Source organism: Homo sapiens, chromosome 11 (assembly GCF_000001405.40).
Source record: "Homo sapiens chromosome 11, GRCh38.p14 Primary Assembly".
In the NCBI taxonomy this organism is placed as follows: domain Eukaryota; kingdom Metazoa; phylum Chordata; class Mammalia; order Primates; family Hominidae; genus Homo; species Homo sapiens.
In genome coordinates, this window is record NC_000011.10 from 48,470,610 (window position 1) to 48,494,684 (window position 24,075).

Genomic DNA, 24,075 nt, shown 5'->3' on the forward strand with positions numbered 1-24,075 from the left:
ACTGTAGAGGTCTCCAGGCAGATAACCTTGCTATCTGTTTCCACAGGGTTGGCCTTGCATTACAGTCCAGTGGGAACAGACCTGACACATGGGTCTGCAGTTGTGAGCCTGGAGCCTGGGTCCACCAGGGTGAGTTTACAACCTGGGTTTATGTGGGCTGGCCTGGCACTGGAGCAGACCTTGAGTCTGCATTTTTGAGGGACGGCCTGGAACTGGGGTAGGGTGGAAACTGAGTCCTCCATAGCGGAGCTGTACCTGTGTTAAGCCTAGTGCCAGGGTCCATGGGTACTGGCCTTCCACAGACGCTCACTGGGGCAGACATGTAGGTTGAATCCATAGGGGTTGGTCTAGTGCCTGGTTTGCATTCCTGGCCTGGTGCTGAGGTGGGCTGATAGCCTGTTTTCATGGGGACTGGCCTGGTACTGAGGCAGGCCTAGAACCTAGATCCACGTAGCAGTCTAACCATAGAATAGGCCTGAAACTGGGGCCAGTCTGGCAGTGGGGTGGGTCTGGTTCCTGTATCTACATGAGCTGGCCTTGCAAAGGTGCTGGCCTGAAGCTTTAGTGTGTGAAGGGGTGGTGCAGCCCTGGTGACCTAACTACTTGTGCCAGCCTGGCTTTGAGTTAGTGAGGACCTCATTGGTACTAGGACTGGTTTTGTGACTTGGTCTAAGAGAGCTGGCCTAGTGCTGGGGTGGTTTAGAAGCCTGGGTCTGTGGGGACCTGCCTGGCTCTGGGGTGAGCCTGGTGCTTAAGTTCATGCGAATCAGCCTGGTGCTTGAGACTGTTGGTGCAGGCCTGAATAGGCGTCTGCAATGAAGTCAATTCTCACTTCACTTTTCTTTTCCACATAGGAGAGCCCTGGGACAGAGAGGGTCTCTCTTAGCCTTGTGCTGCATGGGCTTGGGGAAGGGGTGACTTGGGTAAAGTAAAGCTGTTCTTCCCCCATTCAGTGCATCTTTTCCTGATTGTGTCTTCCACTTGGGTACTGTAAGTTCTCACCTGTGATCTAGAACTCTTGTGAAGGTATTTTCATGTGCGGATGGATATTTATATTGGTGTTTCTGTGAGGGAATGTGATGTGGAACCTCGTATTCTATCTTTTGACATCACTATCTTTGTGCATTTTTTTTTTTAAGACGGAGTCTCGCTCTGTTGCCCAGGCTGGAATGCAGTGGCCCGATCACAACTCACTGCAAGCTCTGCCTTCTGGGTTCATGCCATTCTCCTGCCTCAGCCTCCTGAGTAGCTGGGACTACAGGCGCCCGCCACCATGCCCAGCTAATTTTTCTGTATTTTTAGTAGAGACGGGGTTTCACTGTGTTAGCCAGGATGGTCTCGATCTCCTGACCTTGTGATCCACCCGCCTTGGCCTCCAAAAGTGCTGGGATTACAGGCATGAGCCACTGCGCCTGGCCCCTTCGTGCATTTTTAATTGAGTTGTCTTTTTATTTTTGAGATGTAAAGAGTTCTTTACATATTTTTATACAAGATCCTTATCAAATATATGATTTGGAAATATTTTCTCCCATTTTGTGAACTGATTTTGACTTTCTAGATAGTTCCCTTTGAGGCACAAAAGTTTAAGTTTTGATAAAGTTCAATTTGTCTATTTTTCATCTGTTGCCTGTTTATTGCTGTATTTAAGAAACCATTGTCTAATCCCAAGATCATGAAGATTTACCCCTCTGTTTTCCTCTAATACTTATATCGTTTTAGATTTTACACTGGATCTTTGATCCATTTGGGATTAATTTTTGTATATGGCAAGACAAAGGGTTCCAAATTTATTCCTTTGTATTTGGGTATCCAGTTGTCCCAGTATCATTTGCTGAAGAGATAATTCATTTTCTACTGAATGTTCTTGACTACTATTATTGTCACCTTAATTATATTAAGTCTTCCATCTATGAAGAGTAGATGGGCTTCTGTTTATTTTGGTCTTTGTCTTACTTCATTCATGCTGCTGTAACAAAATACCACAAACTAATTTATAAAAAATAGAAATTTATGTCTCACAGAACTAAAAACTGGGAAGTCCAAGATCTAGGTAGTCAATGTCCATCAATGATAGACTGGATTAAGAAAATGCGGCACATATACATCATGGAATACTATGCAGCCATAAAAAAGGATGAGTTCCTGTCCTTTGGAGGGACATGGATGAAGCTGGAAACCATCATTCTGAGCCAACTATCACAAGGACAGAAAACTAAACACCGCATGTTCTCACTCACATGTGGGAATTGAACAATGAGAACACTTGGACACAGGACAGGGAACATCACACCCCAGGGCCTGTCGTGGGGTGGGGGGTCGGGGGAGGGATAGCATTAGGAGAAATACCTAATGTAAATGACAAATTGATGGGTGCAGCAAACCAACATGGCGCATGTATACCTATGTAACAAACCTGCACGTTGTGCACATGTGCCCTAGAACTTAAAGTATGAAAAAAAAAGTCTGAATGTCTCCAAAATCAAAATCAGTCTAAAGAAGACATAAAATTTAATAGAATCCTTATGACAAATAAGAAAGTTATAGTATAATAATACTTCTAGTAAAGTTTATTAGTATTTACTACAACGTGGTTCATGCTAGAAAGTCATTGTCTTGTTAATCTGCACAAGAGCCTTATGAAATAGATACTGTTTTTCTTGATTTCCAACACAATTGGATGAAGCCTGGAAAATTTAAATAAATTACTTTAGTCACAGAGGTAGCGAATACCTGAGGTAGGATTTGAGCTCATGTAGTTTTTCTTTGGAACTTACACTTTTAGGCACTATGGTATATACCAGAAAAATGACACACATTTGAATAAAGAAAAATTCTAGTCAGGGAAATGCGCAATAAATAAACCTTTTTAAGAAAGGATAAATTCAGAGTGAAAAGGACTTAAAAAGGAGAAACCTGTGATGTGATAGAGAGCAACTCAGAAGGCAGGGTGGGGTTACTTCAGATTGGGTGTTGAAAAAGATTTAAGTGCAAGAATTTAGTGTTTAACCTATCCAGGGTGAGGAACAATGAGCTGAAAGTCATAAGTAAAACAGTAGAGAGAAATTTATGTATGTGGAGGAGGAATATTATCTGACCTGATACAACTCTTGTTTTTAATTTCTCTCTTCTCTTTTGACCCTATCACCAACTAAATTTATCATATTATAATTAATTCATCTCTAACTAAAATCAGGATGAAGCAAAAAAAAGCATATGCATCCAAGCAACCACCTTTCCCCAGAAGTCTTTGTGTGTGCCTCTGGCAGTTGCTGTTTCTGATGGACTTTTTGGTGTAGTCAACGACATTGATCTCCACTTTGCTTCTGCGTGACTATTGTTTTAAAATTAATTTCTATCTGTTTTCCCCATGTAAAAAATTCACTTAGTGAAGTTGAGCTAGGTTGATTTGTAAAAGGAAAACTATTTAACCAATTGTAATTGATGTTTTCATATCCTGTCAGAGTCTGTACAATTGTTCCCCACTCAAACATGTATCTGTTTGATCTCATCCAGCACCACTCTCTCCCTTGTTCACTGTGATCCAGCTGCAGTGACCTCATTCTTGCCCTCGGGCCATTGTACTAGCTCTTCTTTATTCCCCGAATGCTCATCTTTTAGATCTTCATATGGCTAGGTCCTTGTCATTACTCAGTCTGCAGTTCAATTTCTCCTCCTTAGAGGTCTTCTTGAGCCATCCATGTAAAGCCATTCTCTATCTCTTTGAGTTATTTTCTATCACATTACTTTGCTACATTTTGTTGTCAACATTTTCACCACGTGATTGTCAGATGTAATTGTTTTTTTTTTTTTTTGTCCATTTTTTCCAGTTAGAGTTAAAATCCATGAAAGTAGAGGTATTGGCTGTTTTGTTCACTATGGCATTTGCAGCACAAGAAATGCCCACACGTTTATTCTACGTCAAGCCTATTCTGTGCCAAGAATGGGCTGTTATGAATAAATGCAGTTTTCAAAGGGACCCTTGCTAACCAGAATGCTTCTGCAATTGATGGCTTTCCATTCTTGGTGACAAATTGAAATAAAGAATTTTAGATCAGTTTAGTATATCAGCCATGGTTCTTAGGTGATGACACAGAATTATCTGTAGCTAGTTTAAGTAGAAGGGATTTATTATATGCAATTAAGTTGTTTAAAGAACCTTTGGAAGGGTTAGAATGGCAGAGTCTGACCTGAATGACCAGGAATAACTTTTAGAAGCACATCTGTTGGGACAGGTGCTCCAAAGGAGCCGCTGTCCCTCTGACACCATGGTTATGTTGCCACATCTCCACAGGTGCTGCTGCTTCTCTGACCGCAGAACCACTTCGCTTTTGTTGACATCGTCAGAACCCAGCCTCAGATAACTAATTTCCAACTCAAAGACTTGCACGGAGGCTCCTGGTTCGTATCTCCCAAGTCATGTGACTAACCTTCTGGGACTAACATTGTATAGCATATGATTTGGTAGCAAATCTCAAGCAGCTCTTCTAACTTAATTTGAGATGCTTATTAATGGAAGAGTCCCTCGATTGAAAAAATGTTTCTCTTACTTTACTTTCATTTTCACATTTCTATTTTTTATTGTATACATTTAAGTTATACAACTTAATGTTTTGATATACATGTACATGGTGAAACTATGTACATGTATATCACAGTTTAACATATCCATCATCTCACATGGTTATCTTTTTGCATCTTAAATTTTTTTTTTTTTGGTTAGAGGACCCAAAGCCTACCCTGTTAGAAAATTTGCAGTGATACAATGCAATATTATTAACTATAGTTTTTATACTACACTTTATTTAGATCTTTAGATTTATTCATCCTACATATCTTCCCATTTTTCCCACCCTCTGCCTCTGGTAACCACTGTTGTTCTATTCTCTGTTTCTACATATTCAGCTATTTATTTTTATTTTTTTGTATTCCACATATAGGAGAAATTGTGCAATATTTTTCTTTCTGAGTCTGGCTTATTTCACTAAACATGTCTTCCAGGTTCATTCATATTATTGCAAATGGCAGGATCTCCTTGTTTTTAAAATTGAAATAATATTCATGTATATGAATACTATATATTATATTATATATATATGCAAAAAGATAACCATGTGAGATGATGGATATGTTAAAGTGCATATCTGTAGTAATAGTTTCACCATGTACATGTATATATAAATTATGTATATTATATATTATATTAAAGTAATATAATACACATATTACATTATCAATATAGTAATAATATACTATGTTAATATAATTCATAATAATATATTTTAATAATAATCACATTCATATTTTATTATGCTTTTAAAAAAATCTAGTCATCTGTTGAGAAACATTTGGGTTTTGTTTCCATATGGTGGTTATTGTGAATAACGCTGCAATGAACATGTGAGTGCAGATATATCTACAAGTACTACTTTCATTTCCTATGGGTGTATATCCAGAAGAGGGATTGCTGACCCACATGGTAGTTCTATTTTTAATTTTTCAATGAGCCTCATGCTCTGTCCCCTAATGGCTGTTCCAATTTACATTTCCACCACCAGTATACCAGTGTTCTCTTTTCTCCACGTCCTTGCCAACACTTATGATCTCATCTTTTTGATAAAGCCATCCTAAGAAGTGTGAGGTGATGTCTCATTGTAATTTTAATTTGCATTTACCTGAAGATTAGTAATATTGGGCATCTTTTCTTTTATCTATTGGCCAGGTTTTTGTTTCGTTTGGAGAAATATCCATTCAGGTTCTTTGGTAATATTTAATTGGATTATTAATTTTTTTGCTGTTGAGTTATGTAAATTCCTTATATATTTTGGATATTAACTCCTTAACGGATTTATGGGTTACAAATATTTTCTCCCAATTTCTAGGCTGTCTTTTACTTTTGTTGTTTTCTTTGATATGCCAAAGTTTTTGGCTTGATGTACTCCCACTTGTTTAGTTTTTGCTTTTATTTCTTGTGCCTTGGGTGTCCTATCCAAAAAATTATTGGCAAGACCAATGTCATGCAGCTTTTCCAAGATGTTTTCTCCTAGGAGTTTTATAGTTTATAGTCTTGTATTTAGTTCTTTAATCCATTTTGATTTGATTTTTCTTTATGGTATAGTATAAGGGTCCAGTTTTATTCTTTTGCATGTGGATATCCAGTTTTCTTAACACCACTAATTGAAGAGAGTAACTTTTCTTTATGTTTTATTCTTGGTACTTTTGTCAAAGATTAATTAATAGTATATGCCTGGGGCCAGGTGCAGTGGCTCACACCTGTAATCCCAGCACATTGAGAGGCCAAGGTGGGTAGATCACCTGAGGTCGGGAGTTCAAGACCAGCCTGGCCAACATGGTGAAACCCCCGTCTCTACTAAAAATACAAAAATTAGCTAGGTATGGTGGTGGGCAACTGTAATCCCAGCTACTTCGGAGGCTGAGGCTGGAGAATTGCTTGAACCTGGGAGGTGGAGGTAGCAGTGAGCTGAGATTTCCCACTGCACTCCAGCCTGGGTGACAGAGCGAGACTCTGTCTTAAAAAAAAAAAAGAAGAAGAAAAATGTATATGCATGGGCTTATTTCTTGGCTTTCTATTCTGTTCCTTTGGTCTATGTGTCTGTTTTTATGTCAATACTGTTTTTACAACCATACTGATTTGATGATAATAGCTTTGTGACATAATTTTTATTTTTATTTTATTTTATTTTATTTTATTTTATTTTATTTGAAACAGAGTCTTGCTCTGTCACCTAGGCTGGAGTGCAGTGATGTAATCATGGCTGACTGCAGCCTGCACCTCCCAGGTTCAAGAGATTCTCATGTCTCAGCCTCCCAAGTAGCTAGGATTACAGATGTGCACCACCACACCTGGCTAATTTTTGTATTTTTAGTAGAGAAGAGGTTTTACCATACTAGCCAGTCTGGTCTCAGACTCTTGGCTTCAAGTGATACACCTGCCTCAGACTTCCAAAGTGCTTGGATTATAGGTGTGCACCACACCCAACCACTTTGTCACATAATTTTTAATCAGGAATTGTGATGCCTCCAACTTTTTTTTCCCCTCAAGATTGCTTTGGCTACTTGAGGTCTTCTGTAGTTCCATTTGAATTTTATTTATTTATTAAAAAAGTCTAAACTTTAAAAAATGTCACTGGAATTTTTACATGATTACAATGGTACAGGTTACATTGAATTTGTATATCACTTTGGATGGCATGGACATTTTAACAATATTGATTTTTTTCTATCCATGAACATGTGGTTCATTTGTCTATGGCCTACCATCCTGAAGAAGCTCAATATCTGATCTCAGAAGGAAAGCTAGGTTGAGCCTAATTAGTACTCTCGTTTTTTAAATAAACCAAAAAATATATTGTTCACTATTGTGTATTAGGCACTGCGTAAGCACTTTACACGCCTTATATCATATTGTCATCATAACGTCATGAATTACATATTATTCTCTTCATTTTAGGGAAACAATGAGACTTGTAGATGTTCAAAATAACTTTTTAAAGTTATAACATTGTAAGTAAGAAGGCTAACTCTGATAATCTGTCTCCAGCTTAAATTCCTATTTAAAATCCATAGTCATCTATGTCCAAAATGGTAAAATCATTTCATATTGTCTCATCTCTCTATCTGGACCTTTGCTCCAAATGTGGGCTCCAGAACAACTTATCCTCAGGCAGGTATGAGCTTCCTTTCCCTGATTGCTTGTCGGGTTGTTATTGTTTTAAACACATATTTTATTTTTTAGTGTCACAGAATTTGAGCAGGTAGTACAAAGAGTTCCTATATAACCTCTGTACCTACACATGCATAGTATCCTCTACTATCAACATTCCACACACCACAGTGGTACACTTTTACAACAATAAACCTCTATTGATACACCTATCTAACTCAAAGTTCTTAGTTTACACTAGGATTTGCTCTTGGTATTGTATGTTCTATGAGCTTGGACAAATATATAATGACATGTATCTACTGTTACAGTATCATGTAGAATAGAGTAACTGACATAAAAATCCTCTGTGCTCAAGACTTGGAACCAACCCAAATGCCCATCAATGATAGACTGGATAAAGAAACTGTGGCACATATACACCATGGAATACTAAGCAGCCATAAAAAAGCATGAGTTCATGTCCTTTTCAGGGACATGGATGAAACTGGAAGCCATCATTCTGAGCAAACTAACAGAGGAACAGAAAACCAAACACCACATGTTCTCACTCGTAAGTGAGAGTTCAACAATGAGAAAACAGGAACCCAAGGAGGGGAACATCACACACTGGGGCCTTTCAGGCCATGGGTGGCAAGGGAAGGGAGAGCATTAGGACAAATACCTAATGCATATGGGGCTTAAAACCTAGATGACGGTTTGATGGGTGCAGCAAAACACCATAGCACGTGTATACCTATGTAACAAACCTGCATGTTCTGCACATGTATCCCAGAACTTAAAGTAAAACTAAAAATAAAAAGCCTCTGTGCTCCACTTATTTATCCCTCCTTCTTCCATAAACCCTAATGTCCACTGATATTTTTGCTGTCTCCATAGTTTAGCCTTTTCCAGAATGCCATATAGTTGGAAATGTACAATGTATAACCTATTCGAATAGGCATTTTCACTCAGTGATATGCATTTTGTTTTCTCCATGTGTTTTCATGGCTTGGTAGTTCATTTCTTTTTAGTACTGAATAATATTTCATAGTCTGGATGCACACATTTGTTTATCCACTTACCTAATAAAGAGCATCTTCATGGCCTCTAAGTTTTGGCAATTATGAATAAAGCTGCTAGAAACATTTGTGTGTGAGTTTTTGTGTGGGCATAAATTTTCATCTTGAGTAAATATCAAAAATCCCATTTGCTTGATTGTATGATAACAGTATGTTTAGTTTTATAAGAAATTGCCAAACTGTCTTCCAAAGTATCTGACATGATTTGTCTATTGTATGATCTATTTCTTCACCAATACTACATTGTCTTGATTGCTGTACCTCTATAGCAAGTCTTGAAGTTGGGTAGTATCAGTTCTCCAACTTTGTTCTTTCCCTCAGTATCACATTAGCTATTCTTGGTCTTTTGCCTTTCCATATAAGCTTTACAATTAGTTTGTCAATATTTACAAAATACCCTGCTGGAATTTTGACTGGGATTAAAATGAATGCATAGATTAAGTTGGGAAGAATAGACATCTTGACAATATTGAGTCTTCCTATCCATGAATATGAAATATTTCTTCATTTATTTAGTTTTTTTATTTGTTTTTTCTTTTTCATTTTTCTTTTTTGTTTTGAGATGGAGTTTCACTCTTGTTGTCCAGGCTGGAGTGCAATGGTGTGATCTCAGCTCACCGCAACCTGCGCCTCCCAGGTTCAATTGATTCCCCTGTCTCAGCCTCCCAAGTAGCTGGGATTACAGGCATGTGCCACCACGCCTGGCTAATTTTGTATTTTTTCTTAGTAGAGACGGGGTTTCTGCATGTTGCTCAGGCTGGTCTCGAACTCCTGACCTCAGGTGATCTGCCTGCCTCAGCCTCCCAAAGTGCTGGGATTAATGGCCTGAGCCACTGTGCCCTGCCTTGATTTGTTAATTAGAGCTTTGTAGTTTTTCTCACTTGTACACATTTTGTTAGATTTATACCTGAGTATTTCATTTTTTTGGAATGCTAAAGTAAATGATATTGTGTTTTGAATTTTAGATTATACTTGTTCATTGCTGGTATATAGAAAAGTGATTGACTTTTGTACATTAACCTTGATCCTGCCACTCTGCTCTAATTATTAGTTCCAGTATTTTTTTGTTTATTTAAAAAAATTTCTACATAGATGATCATGTCATCTACAGACATTGACAGTTTTATTTCTTCCTATCAGTATATTTTTTATTCTTTTTCTTGTCTTATTACATTAGCTAGGACTTCCAGGACAATGTTGACAAGAAGTGATGAGAAGAGACATTCTTGCCTTTTTCCTAGTCTTAGTAGGAAAGCTTCAAGTTTCTCACCATTAAGTGTGATGCTGGCTGTAGATTCTTACTTTACGGATTTTTTTTTAAGAATCATAAATAGGTGTTAGATTTTTTTCAAATGCTTTTTCTGCATCTATTAATATGGTAATTTGATTTTTTCCCTTTAACATTTCACACAATGGATTATGTTAATTGATTTTTGAATGTTGATCTCACCCTGCATACCTGGACTAAATTGTACACCAGGATCTACTGAGATTTAGTCCAGGTATGCAGGGTGGAATCAACATTCAGAAATACCTGGACTAAATCTCAGTTGATCCTGGTGTACAATTATCTTTATATATTGTTGAATTTAATCTGCTAATATTTTGTTGAGGATTTTTGCATATATGTTAAAAAGAGATATTAGTCTGAAGTTTTCTTTTGTTGTAATGTCTTTGTTCTTGGGAATAGGGTATGGTGGGCTTCATTGAATGAGTTAGGAAGTCTTTCCTCTTCTATTTTCTAAAAGAGATTTAGAGAACTGGTATAATATAATCCTTAAATATTTGGTAGAATTTACCAGTGAACCTGTCTGACCTGGTACTTTCTGTTTTTTAAGGTGCTATGGATTTAATGTTTGTGTCACCCTGAAGTTCATGTATTAAAATTCTAACCCCCTATGTAATGGTATTAGGAGGTGGAGCCTCTGAGAGGAGACTAGGCCATCAGGGTAGAGCCCTGATAAATGGGATTAGTGCCCTTATAAGAGGCCCTTAGAGAAGGCTATGATTGGGTATTTCATTTACTTCAAATAGGTTAGGCTGTAATAAAACCCTAGCAAGTTAGGGTGTGGCTAACAGTAGGTTCTTCTGAGGGCAGGCCTTGTTAAGAAGAACAGAATACTGTGGATATTTAAAAATGTTTTTCCCCATCTCCAGGAAGATGAATTTATCACTTATTTCCCTACTTTGCCATAGCAATTATTTTCTTTTTATCTAATACTTGATTTTTTTCCCATTAGTGTGGGTTTGGATATATTTTTTAAAAATTTTGTTTAACGTACGGACAGGACTTTTTCTAACATCTTCTGTGAGTGTCAGGTAGGGATAATGAAGTTAAAACTCACAAAAGTGTGAGAGACCCCCTGCCCTGCCCCACCTTGACTGGCTCCCCTAGAGTTTTTATCTTTCAGGCATCTCTTTCAGGCTTCTCCACATTAAGAAGTTCATCAATTAAGTTCAGGGTTTTCCGACCTACATCTACCCTCCTTGGCATTGGCTCCTGTGGGGTTTCTGCTTGTGGGTTTTTGCTCAGGGAAGGTGGGATTCTCTCTATCTGCCTGTCTATCTCTGCAATTTTGAGGGCAGCGGTTTGCGTTGTGAGCTCACTTCTTTGTTGGATTTAAGATGAATTGTTGGTATTTATTTTGTTCAGCTTTTTTTCTTGTTGTTAGATTACAGTGGTGACTTCTAAGTTCTTTACATGCTAGATTAGAAGTTCCCCTTACTTTTCTTTAAAAAGAACTTTCAATGAAATACAAATTCCTTACCAAGATCTATACTGCCCTGCAGGGCTTGGCTTCTGTCCATCTCTTCAACCTCAGTTTGTTCTGTCCTTTCTCTTTTCCATTTCCTTTCAGGTACTAAGACGTTCCGTTGACTTGCACTTGCTCAGCTCTTTAAATATTGGAGCTTTCCACATGTAACAATACTTCCCGTGGAGCAATGTTTCGTCCTTTGGACCTCAGCTAAGTATCACCATTTAAAAAAACCTCTGATTACCTTCTTTACAGTAATATCTCACTCTTATTTTTCATCACAATACTCAGTATTTTAAATACTGATCATAGATGGTAATTTATTAAATTGTTCTCCTGACTTTCTTAGAAGATATAAAGTTAATGTAGGCAGGACTTTTATGCTTTTTTTTTTTCTGTTTCATTAACTATTGTATCTTAAGCTTATGGCATAGAACTTGGCATGAAAAGGATGCTCATAACAATTTTTTAGAATAATAAATACATAGATAAATAGTTATTACAACTAAATAAAATATTTTAAAAACATATCCAAACCTACACTTGTAGGCAGAAAAAATGGAGAATTAGATAAAAGGAAAAAAGCTGCTATCGCAAAGTGGGGAAAATGTGATAAATTCATCTTCTTGGCGAGAAGCGGCTGGGCTGATATTTTATTCTTGATTGGCAATCCTACTATAATGGTTGTTTTTTTCTCCCTTGTTACATCTTTCTGACCCTAGTTATGTGATTGATCTGACAATATCTCTACATGCAAATGTTCTTTAAAAATATGTGGAAAATCCCTGTGAACTTAATTAAGCAAAAATCAGTCTTGGACAGAATCCAGTTCCAGGACTCCATGATTAGTGTGCTTATAAGGTACAAACTCTTCAATAATATTTGCCTCTGTCAGGTAGAAGTTACTATCCTTTTAAGGGCTAATTATTTCAGAAGATGTTTTATTAGGCTTACCACATGACATAAAAAAGGGACAAGAATTTCCTCTCCAAATTTCAAGCATGAATGCTTGGCCGTAAGAAGACAAGAGAGTGAGATGGGCTAAACGTTGGAACGGCAGTTATTCTTTATTGAAATTACTAGAAAAGAAGTTATGAGAGAAAAATTTCCCTCTTAAAAAGGCTAGTTACTATCTTCTTATGTAGACATAGGATTTGTTTGTATTTTTAATAAATTATCCTAACATGAAAAGTTTTAATTTTTCTTTTTGCACCATGGAATTTCTTTAAAATAGTTCTACAGTGCAAGTCATAATTTTCTGAAATACTTAGAAACTCTGAAGACAATGGACAGACGTGGCCATATGATTTCAAATATATCATCAAGGAATGATACAGCTTTTTGTCTTCTGTGTGCATATTGGATTGAAGAGAGACTTCCAGCTCCTTTTGAGTGAGGTAAAGTGTTTTTCAAATCATAGATAAGCTTCCCAAAGGTAAGATTTTAACAGGTGTTAGTGAAACCAAGCTTTGCAGATGTGTGAATTTTTTACTACATAGGAAATTATATCATTTGATTTTATAAGAATTGAAATGTTGAAAAATTTTGCTGGTGCAAAGTTGCTGGTTAGGTTTTATATGATACTTGTCATGAGTATATTTACAAAATAGAAAAGTTAAGTCAGCAACCATGATATATCCTAAAAAGTTATAACTCCACCTAGAGAAGTAGGAGACTCATGGTGAAAACGTGATTTCTCAGACAGCATCAAGACTTTGGTCCTCTGATAAAATGACCCCTTGTATAGATCCTGAGATGAATTGAGTAGTAGATGCTCGGTGATGCCTGGGAGCCTATCTTATTTGATTGGTGTGACACAATATATGTGTTCAATTAACACTTGGTGGTTGAATGAATAAATGAAAGACTGAACTTATAATACACCTTTCTACAATATTTAGCATTAATTTAGAGGTAAACTGCTTATGATTACTAAGATTGGCATCTGCAAAAGAATAGATAGAACTAAAAAGATGCAAAAGCAGTTTGAATATTTGAGGACTGGTAAAAACCTTGAGCAGGTAAACATAGAGAATTGCAGGAAATTAGCTGAATAGGTTTCCTAGATCCCAGTCATCTAAGATCTTGTAGGCCAAGATAGGGATATTGGATTTTATTGAGTATACAGGCCAAGGTAGGGATATTGGATTTTATTAAGCATATAATAGGAATATCTTGTAGGGGTTGAGATCAAAGGAGTAATAGAATCTGAATAATATAAGAACAAAAAAAAGATCATTTGGGCTGCTTCAGGAACACAGATTGTCAAATGCCGAAAGGAAAGTAGGTAGACCTGGCTATTGCAGTAGACCAGGAACGAATGGGGTGTAGTGAGAATGATCAAGTTTGTAATGTATTAGAGAGGAAAAGTGAACAGGCCTTATTAAGTATAGAAATAAACAATGTGAATAGAATATTCACAGGCCTTATTAAGTATAGAATAAAGGGTGAAGGAAGGACACTGATAAAATTTGTTCTGAACAATAACACAAAAGGAGTACCATTTTATTAATTTGATAAAAAAAATCCTAGGTAGGAATAGATATATTATGAAAAATTAAAAGTTTGCTTTTATAAATCATAAATTGAAGTCTGTTTGGAGGCATCAATTAGATAGCTGCAGATATGAGTTTGAAAATTAGGGGAGAAATGGAGTAAAGACATACAATTTTAGACTGCTTCAGAATTTACAAGTTAGGAAAACGAGCAATATTCAAGTAAAGACACTAAGAAGAAAGTTTCAGTGGGTCGGTAAGATATCTGGTACTGTGACAGTTATGGACCATACATTGCGTGTTATGACAATTATTGTTTCATTATGTCCCCCCAACAAATTCATATTTTGGGGCCCTAACTCTTAGTACTTCAGAACATAACCTTATTTGAGGTGAGTCTTTGCAGAGGTATGCAAGTTAAAATAAGATGATTGAGGTGGACCCTAATCCAATATGACTGATGTCCTTAATAGATAGGAAAATTTGGATACAGACATGTATACAAAGAGTATTCTGTAGGAACCTATAGTTGGTCATTTATAAGCCAAGGGCAGAGGCTTGGAACATCTCCTTCCCTTATAGTCTTCCATAGGAACCAACACTGTTAATATGTTAATTTTGAATTTCTAAGATCTAGAACTATGAGACAATAAATTTCTGTCGTTTAAAGCACTCAGTTTGTTCTACTTTATTGTACCTGTTCTAGCAAAATAATACAGCTTTCAGTTCTGGGAGTGGGGTACTGCTGCAATGAATACCTCAAATGTGGAAGTGGCTTTGCAACTGGGTAATGGGCAGATACCTCCAGAGTTTGAGGGTGCATTATAGAAAGAGCTTGGATATCCTTCAAGTTACTGTGAGTAGGAATATGGACATTGAACAGTGATTCTGGTGAAGGCTCAGAAAGGAAAGAGGGGAGCTGAGGAGAAAACATCTATTATCTTAGAGAATACATATTTCATCATGAACTGAATGCTTCTAGAAATCTGAATGTCAAGGTCCTTGTAGTTAAGGTCAAAAATGGAAATTAGGAACATGTTATTGGAAAGTGGAGGAAAAGCGTCATTGTTATAAGGTGGCAGCCCTAGTAAATAATACAAAGAAATTTGGTCTATAGCCTTGCACACAAAATGCATTCTACCCACTATGAATATATATATATTAAGTGCATCTTCAGTGTGATACTTCAGTGAGTTTATACATGGCACATCTTTTCATGGAATTCCCTTTTCCATCCTTTTCCTCACTTCTTTAAACTCATTAAAGTATCACTTCCGCTGAGAAATCTACCCAGAGCACAGTTGGATTTAGAAGTTCCAAGGCTGTGTAGCCATAGCACAATGTAAATTATTTATAATCACACTTGCTAAATTGGTTTTTGTCTGACCACTTTATTGTGGAATTCTGACAGTACACTGAAGATTAACAACCAAATTGACAATAAATAACTCTAAAGGGTATTTTTGTAATGATAAATAGTTTTCTATACGGACCTTTGCTCAAATGGCTTATATGCCAGAATCATCTCTGACATATGATATTTACTTGGCCCTTAGTCTTAGATATTAGATTATTTTCTCTTCACCACTGAAAGGGTAAAATCATCTTATGTTTGGATTATTTCTCTCTTCAGTTCATCTTTTGACCCAGAGCTTTCTCAAAGCACTTTTCACCTCTGCATTTCTGAGGGTTAGACTAAAGGTTTTAACATAGGATTTATCATGGTATAAAACACAGCCACTGCTTTATTGATTGGGGAAGGGTCACTGGGCACAGATACACAGATATACAGAACCCAAAGATAAGATGACCACGGTGGTGTGAGAGATGCAGGTAGAGAGGGCTTTAGCATCTTTCCTCCAAGCTGTGAGTTTTCAAAGTACATAGGATGGCCACTTAAGAAACCATCAAGAAAATGATGTTTAATAGGTAGTTGAACCCACCATTGGCAGCAACAAAGAAACCAAGTGTATTAGTAGTACCCATGCAGAGGAGTTTCAACAAAGTGTTTAAGTCACACATGAATGAGCTATGACATTGGGATCATAGAAAGGAAGTCAGACTGGGGAGAGGATCTAAACTGTGCCTGGATAAAGCTTCCAGTACATGCCATTCCAGTGAGATGGCTACACCTATATTGATTCATGATGGTCATGTAGTGCAGATGGTCACATAACAGCCATGGACCATCCCCATCAGTGGAATAATCTCAGCAGCACCAAAAGATGCTCAGCAAAGACTTCCAGATACTTTATCCATATTGATACAAGCATGGTACTACATATGCTCCCATATTTTTTTATTAACTCATTAGGTACTCAAAAAAACTCAATAAACTTATATGATGATTTCATTTACAAAATATGACACAGAGTACTGATTAGCATTTGATATCTTACAGCAAGTGTTAGAAAAATTTATTTACTGGTTTAGATATTTCTCATAAAATAGTTGTCTATCTATTATCTATCTTCTTCATCATCATCTATCACTTTCTACCTAAATTATTTTCTAAAACCAGAGTGTTATAGACACTTTGAGAAAAATGAAGCATTTTCTACATGCATATTAAACATATGGTTTATGTAAAAGCCCAGTAAATAAGGCTTTTGGTTTTCACAGCATCTAAAATAAGGCTGTTGATTAGAGATAAGTCAACTAGCTCAATGGAGACTTCCTCAGGGAAAGTTCAGTATCATTGAGAAGAAAATTAGAAAGTTCTTGGCCAGTATTTATATACTATTTATCATTAATAGATTAAAATAGAGTTATTATGTATCTTTTCACCTCAGGAGGTATAATTCTGTTTGGAAAAGTAGGTGACTAATGGTGAAAAGAAGATTCCTTGGTTAGCACTAATATTTCTCCTCTGATAATCACTTCTGGCCTAAACCCTAACCCTGAATGAGTTTGTGAACATTCTCTGATGGCTGGGAGTCTACTTTATTTGAGAGGCATAACACAATGTAGGTGTCATATAAACATTTTTCAATTGAATGAATAAATAAAAGATTATACTTACAATACACATTTCCACAATATTGACCATTATTTTAGAAGTAAGTGGCTTCTAATCTCTGAAATAAGTGTCCACAAAAAATAGATTAAATTAAGGATATGGAAAAGCACATTGTATATTTGGTGAATATCAAAACTGTCTGGAGCAGGATAAATGTGGACAATTGTAAGGGATGGATTTGGGGAGGTAGCCTGGATCCAGGTCATCTAGGGTCTTGTAGGCCAAGGTAGAAAGATTGCATTTTATTGAGTGCAGAATAGAAATCCACCATGGGGTTTTTGAGTAGAGGAGTGGTATGATATTAATAAGATTTTCGAAAGATCATTTGGGCTACTTCATGAAGGAACATTATTAGAGGCCAGAAGATGAGTGGAGAGACTTTGCAGGGGGCTATTAGAGTAGGCCAGGGGGTAACAAGATGGTAGTGAGAAGGATCCAATTGGGATATTTTGAAGGAAGAGTTAACAGGGTTTGAAAAAAATATACTGATAAATAATATGAAAGAAATAGAGAAGTGAAATAGATTGTAAAATTTTTAGTTTAAACAATAACGTGGTAGGTAGCAACATTTAATGAAATGAAAATAAGGAAGAAATGGGTTGATCGGGAAAATTAAAAATTGGTATCAATTGAACATGTCAGTTGGTAGTCACATACAAAGATCCATTCATAATTAGCTCTTCCCAGTTTGAAAATGTAAGTTACCTTAAGTGGTTTCTCGAGTATTATACATCTGTGAATTTATACAGGATGCATCTTTATGTGGAATTCCCTTCCCATCCTCTCTTGTAGTTAATTATCACCTTTCCTTTATATCTCAGCTAAGACATTGCTTTCTCTGAAAAGTCTTTCCTGATCCTAGTTTGATTTAGTGTTTTAGCACTGTGAACCCTTACAATAATGTCAATATATTTATTATGACACCTATTTAATTGGTATTTAATTTATTCCCTTTGGTATTTTATTTACCAAATCACTGAGAGTACAAAATTGTGTCTTTTTCAACTTGGCAATTCCAAAGTCTATGACAGATTTGACATAGATGCTGCATACACATTTTTAATTGAATGAGTAAATACAATATTAAAATCATAATGCATTTAAAGATTTCCCCCCTTGTTTTATAGGTAAACTGCTTATATGATCTGAAGTAAGCAGCTGTAAAGAATACATGGAGCCAAGGAAAAATGTGACTGACTTTGTCCTCTTGGGCTTCACACAGAATCCAAAGGAGCAGAAAGTACTTTTTGTTATGTTCTTGCTCTTCTACATTTTGACCATGGTGGGCAACCTGCTCATTGTAGTGACCGTAACTGTCAGTGAGACCCTGGGCTCACCAATGTACTTCTTTCTTGCTGGCTTATCATTTATAGATATCATTTATTCTTCATCCATTTCCCCCAGATTGATTTCAGGCTTGTTCTTTGGGAATAATTCCATATCCTTCCAATCTTGCATGGCCCAGCTCTTTATCGAGCACATTTTCGGTGGGTCAGAGGTCTTTCTCCTGTTGGTGATGGCCTATGACTGCTATGTGGCCATCTGTAAGCCCTTGCATTATTTGGTTATCATGAGACAATGGGTGTGTGTTGTGCTGCTGGTAGTGTCCTGGGTTGGAGGATTTCTGCACTCAGTATTTCAACTTAGCATTATTTATGGGCTCCCATTCTGTGGCCCCAATGTCATTGATCATTTTTTCTGTGACATGTATCCCTTATTGAAACTGGTCTGCACTGACACCCATGCTATTGGCCTCTTAGTGGTGGCCAATGGAGGACTGGCTTGCACTATTGTGTTTCTGCTCTTACTCATCTCTTATGGTGTCATCTTGCACTCTTTAAAGAACCTTAGTCAGAAAGGGAGGCAAAAAGCCCTCTCAACCTGCAGTTCCCACATGACTGTGGTTGTCTTCTTCTTTGTTCCTTGTATTTTTATGTATGCTAGACCTGCTAGGACCTTCCCCATTGACAAATCAGTGAGTGTGTTTTATACAGTCATAACCCCAATGCTGAACCCCTTAATCTACACTCTGAGAAATTCTGAGATGACAAGTGCTATGAAGAAGCTCTGGAGAAGAGACCTCATATCAAGTAGTACATAAGTGAGTTACCCACCAGGAAGAGAGTCATTTGACTTTACAGCCTTTCTCCTTGGGACCCAGGAGTTTTTTTAAATCTGATGCCATCTTCCCTTTCTTCAAAGAATTTACAATTATTATTAAAGAATGAACAGTATGATTGTGTTATTAATAACAGTTGATCTCTCTGCTAGAATGTAAGATCTATAATGTCTTGTTTTCCATTTTATCTGTAAAGGTGTAATGCATAAAGCAAGGAGGCAATAATATGTAGTGAATTAGTTAAGAAATTTTAGAGTTACATTGATTTTTAATCAAGTTATGCCTGTATGTTTTTGCCTTTCTTTCTGAGACTTAATTTCATTTTTAGTTAGATTCTTGTCCTTAAGTTCATTGTTCTTCTTATACTATTTAAAATAGTTAATGGTATATTTTATATCAATGCAGTCCTTTTCATCCAATTGAACTTGTACTGTATACAGATTTTTAATGTAATATTTCTACCTTTTAAAAGAAGAATTGAAAGCCAAATGGATAATCATAAATAGTAAAAATGGAAACTGTACAAAATAATATAAAATGAGAAATAAATCTCTTGTCCATGTCTGAGTGCAGTCTCCTAGTTCTCTTCAACAGAGAAAGTCACTATTATCCATTTCTTAAGATGTTTCAGGTAATAATCTTTAAATGTAAATATATTTAAATATATGTGTGTGATTTTCTCTATGTACAGAAGCTTGCTACTTCACATAGAAGGGAGCTAGGGCCTAGGATGTGGGCCTCATAACTCTTCCCAGTCCCCTATCCTACTGTGGTCAGTTAGTTGCATCCAGGATGCAAGACAAAGCCCTCTTTACTCTTCACAATTCACTCTCCTCTCCTCAAGCAGAAGGAAGGAGTCACTTTTGTTGCTGCAAGCTGCACTGCCTGGGGTCAGGGGAGGGGTGGCAGAAGCACTCCCTTGGCAGCCCTGGCTGGTGTCTCCGTAGGTCATGTGCTCCCCTATTGCACTGGCTCTAAGTCCAACCCAGCACTAGGACTTGCCTAGGAATTGCAGGCCTTGTGTCCTAGGCTGCCTTTGAAGTTTACCTAAGACCCCAGAGCACTTTAGCCCACAGTGGTGAGACTTGCCAAGAAATTCTAGTTTTGACTTCTGGGATGAGTGATTCCCCTCTGTCTAGAGCTGGTCCAAATGCAGTCTCCATGGGTGGGTGCCAGTTGAGCTCAGCATGGCTTTGCTCTCTGCTGTGACAAGGTAGCACTGAGTTCAATGCCAAACCCCGTGTCTATACTCTTTTTTCCTCAAGTGCACAGATTATCTCTTTGCACCATGCAGCCACTGCTGTGGAATCGAGGAGCGATTTAAGACAGTCTTTCCTAACCTCTTAAGTGTGTTTCATTCAGTGATGTGAAGTTAAAACCAGGTACTTGGATTGCTCACCTGGTTTTCTGTTGTTATGCTTGTGCTTTTGTGTGTGTGCAATTAGTTGTTGAAATTCAGTGTTCCTGCAGGAGGGACTGGGATTACGGGTGTGAGCCATTATGCCCATCCCAAGAAATATTTTCTGTTATAGGGGGAGAGAGACAATAAACAAGTAAGCATATACATAAAAAGATAAAATATAACAGAGTGGAAAGGTGTAAAACATGAAACAAATGATGTGATAGAGAGCTACTCAAAAGGTAGGGGGTTAGGAGTGTTCAAAGGAGACCCAAGAGCACGTATTAACTGTTTACATAACCACTTCCAGGGACAAGAGACAATAAACTGAAAGGACATGAATAAGTAAACTCACTGGAGAGGAGTTTCTGTTTGTGGAAAGGGGAATTTTATCTGACCTGGATGAGTATCAATAACATCTCTCCTTGATTGAAAACTACACATTTTATTAAAAATAAAATAAACATGATACATACACACACACACAAACATATTTTAGCAAACTTAACCTACTATAATTAATTCAGCTCTAATTAAAATAAGGATGATACAAAATTAAACATACATATTTAGGCCATCATCTTTTTTCAAAACACCTTGTGCGTGCCTCCTGGCAGTTGGTGAACTTTCTGATGTATTCAACAGCATTGATCTCCACTTTGTCTCTGCATGTTCTCCTTTTATTTTAATTTTTACCATTTTTTTCCCACATAAAAGGTCTTGCAGTCACTTAGAAATGCTGAGATAAATTGACTGGTATAAAGTAAGGTATATGATTAACGAAATTTACACTAAAGCTAATTGGCCTTTTCATGGACTATAAGACTATGCACAACCACTCCGTACTCAAACATGCATTTCTCTCTCAAATGTTGTATGACCCAGTACCCAGCTCTTCACAGCACACTTTTTTCTTGGTGGATCTCAGGTGTTCCTTCTGTTGGTGATGGCCTAGACCACTTATAGGGCCATCTGAAAGTCCTTGCAGTATTTGGTTGTCATGAAGCAATGGCTGTGTGTTGTGCTGCTGGTTGTGCTCTGGGCTGGAGGATTTTTGCACACAGTAATACAACTTGACCTTATTCATGGGCTCCCATCTTATGACCCCAATGTCATTGGTCATTTTGTCTGTAACATGGACCCCTTAATGAAGCTTGTCTGTGACTATACACTCAACAGATTTGCCTATTTTGCAGGTCATGATTTAAATACTAGGTTTTATATATTTCATTTACATTCAGACTGGACTGTTTCCTTTTGGTGATTTGACTTTGTTATTCTTTTGTAATTTTTTCCCTAGAGGACATGGTTCTATAAATCTTGTTATACATAGTTATTATCCCTGTGGCGTCTCTGGAGATACAGAGCCTACCCTCAGAATTATGATGAAGGTCCCAATGAATTTAATTAGAGAAGAATCACCTTTGGAGATGCACCAGTTGAATGACTCAACAATATGTGCTGTAGTTCAAATGTGGATAAAGTATCCACAGACTTCTGCCCTTATTTCGAAGAGTATTTGTCTATAGCAGTATTCACATGACTGATTTTTTAGGAATTAAAATGATAGACTCAAACATGATAAAATAAGGATGAAAATTATTCTCCATCCTTCCTATTACCCAAGGTTCAACTACGTGGCATGAATACAGGTTCATATAACTGATCGAAGAGCAATATGTTGTAAAGGCTATTTCATTATTTTACTTTTATTTGTATAAAATACAAATATTTATAGTAAAAAGTCACAATTCTCTCTCCCACAAATTCGAGTTTTTTCTTAACTTCAAAATGCTTATTTAACCTATTCATCTTTTGATGAACACTTGGGTTGATTCCGTATCTTGGCTATTGTGAATAGTGCTCCACAAATTATGGGAATGTAGGTATCTCTTTGATATACCGATTTCATTTCTTTTGGATATATAACTACCAGTGGGATTGCTAGATATATGCTAGTTCTATTTTTAATTTTCTGAGGAACCTCCATACTGTTTTCCATAGTGGCTGTATTAATTTACATTCCTACCAACATATTATGATCATTCCCCTTTCTCTGCATCCTCATCAGCATTTATTTTCTGTTATTTTCATAATAGCCATTTTAACTGGGGTGAGATAACGTAATAAAAAGGATAAAATTCTGCCATTTGCAGCAATGTGGATGGAACTGGAGGATATTATATTAAATAAAATGAGGCAGGCACAGAAAGGCAAATATTGCAGGTGTTCACTCATGTGGGAGATAAAAAATTGACCTCATGATGGTAGTGAATAGAATGGTGGTAATCGGAGGATGGGAAGGGTAGTGAGGAGAGGGGATGAAGAGGAGTTGATTAATATATACAGAAATACAGTTAGGTAGGAAGAATAAGATCATGATAGGGCAACTATAGTTTATAGTTGACTGTATTTCAAAACAGTTAGAAGAGAAAATTTAGAATTTTCTCAACATAAAGAAATGATAAATGTTTGAGGTGATGGATATCCAAATTACCCAGATATGATCATTACATGTTGTGTGCTTTTGTCAAAATATCATTTATACCCCATAAACATATACAATTATAGTGTATCCATTAAAATAAAAAATAAAAAAGTATTTATATAACATGTGTTTGTTATTAGGACAAATTTTGCCAACAGTGAATATTTTGGGTCTCAGTTCACAATCAAGATTGAGGCTTCTTTAGGTTACAGAACATTCTTGATATTCATTTTGAAAATCTCAGTAAGTTAAAAGGTAACCTTTTTTCCCCCTGAAAGACTGAGATAAATCAGACTTTCTACAAGCATGGAAAACGTTGATCACATGGAAGCATTTCAAGGTCCAGTGATGATTCATGTGTTATTTTGCTCTCTGTGTTCACACAGATGGTGTCAGTGTACACAGCTGTTTTTTTTTTTAGGACAAGAGGGAAGGTACCATCATCAGAACTCGGAATGAATTACTGTCTTCTTATGCAGATACCCAGGAAGGTATTTATGTGTGAGATTCTGAACTAGGCTTTACATTATGCAGTAACACTGATGATGTGGGAATTCTGTCTTTTAATAGTTGTGTAAGTGATTCTGATAATAAGCCACATTAGTGGTTCTTCATGATTGCTAAACTATATGTGAATTGCCTCAATTCTGTAATACTTTTTTGGATATTTTATCATTAAATAACAGAATAAATTTACTTTCTCTACATCAGTGTTCTTAGAAACTAATTTCAAATGTAACCATTTGGGGGATATTTTAATGGGCAGGTATTTGTAAATCTCTTTATAGGATCAAGCAGTGCGTTCTCTATGCATTGATTAATATGCTAAAAATTAGATGATGTAGCATCTGTAGAAGTGGAATGAGTGACTTTCAAGAACCCAAGGTAAGACTTAAGTAAGCAAGGTGTTTCCTCAATTCATAGGAATGATAGGTCAAGTAAGAAGAGTATTGAAATTGACCACTGGATTTAGTAAAGTGAAAGTGTTATTTAGAAAGAATAGCAGAGAATCAAGATGGGGTGGTTGCTTGAAAGAAATCTGCGGTCCAAGGGTATA

At 36.7% G+C, this 24,075-nt stretch overlaps 1 protein-coding gene and 2 pseudogenes across 1 annotated transcript; 2 read left to right on the top strand and 1 right to left on the bottom strand.

Moving 5' to 3' along the window:
• On the bottom strand, positions 15,578–16,423 carry OR4R1P (olfactory receptor family 4 subfamily R member 1 pseudogene; annotated as a pseudogene).
• OR4A47 (olfactory receptor family 4 subfamily A member 47) lies at positions 18,184–19,113 on the top strand. The gene has a single exon (NM_001005512.2). It carries the CDS (start codon positions 18,184–18,186, stop codon positions 19,111–19,113), a length of 930 nt encoding a protein of 309 aa, NP_001005512.2.
• On the top strand, positions 21,113–21,886 carry OR4A48P (olfactory receptor family 4 subfamily A member 48 pseudogene; annotated as a pseudogene).

Excerpts from the sequence above, each read along its gene's own strand:
- OR4A47 (NM_001005512.2), top strand. The coding sequence starts at position 18,184 with ATGGAGCCAAGGAAAAATGTGACTGACTTTGTCCTCTTGGGCTTCACA.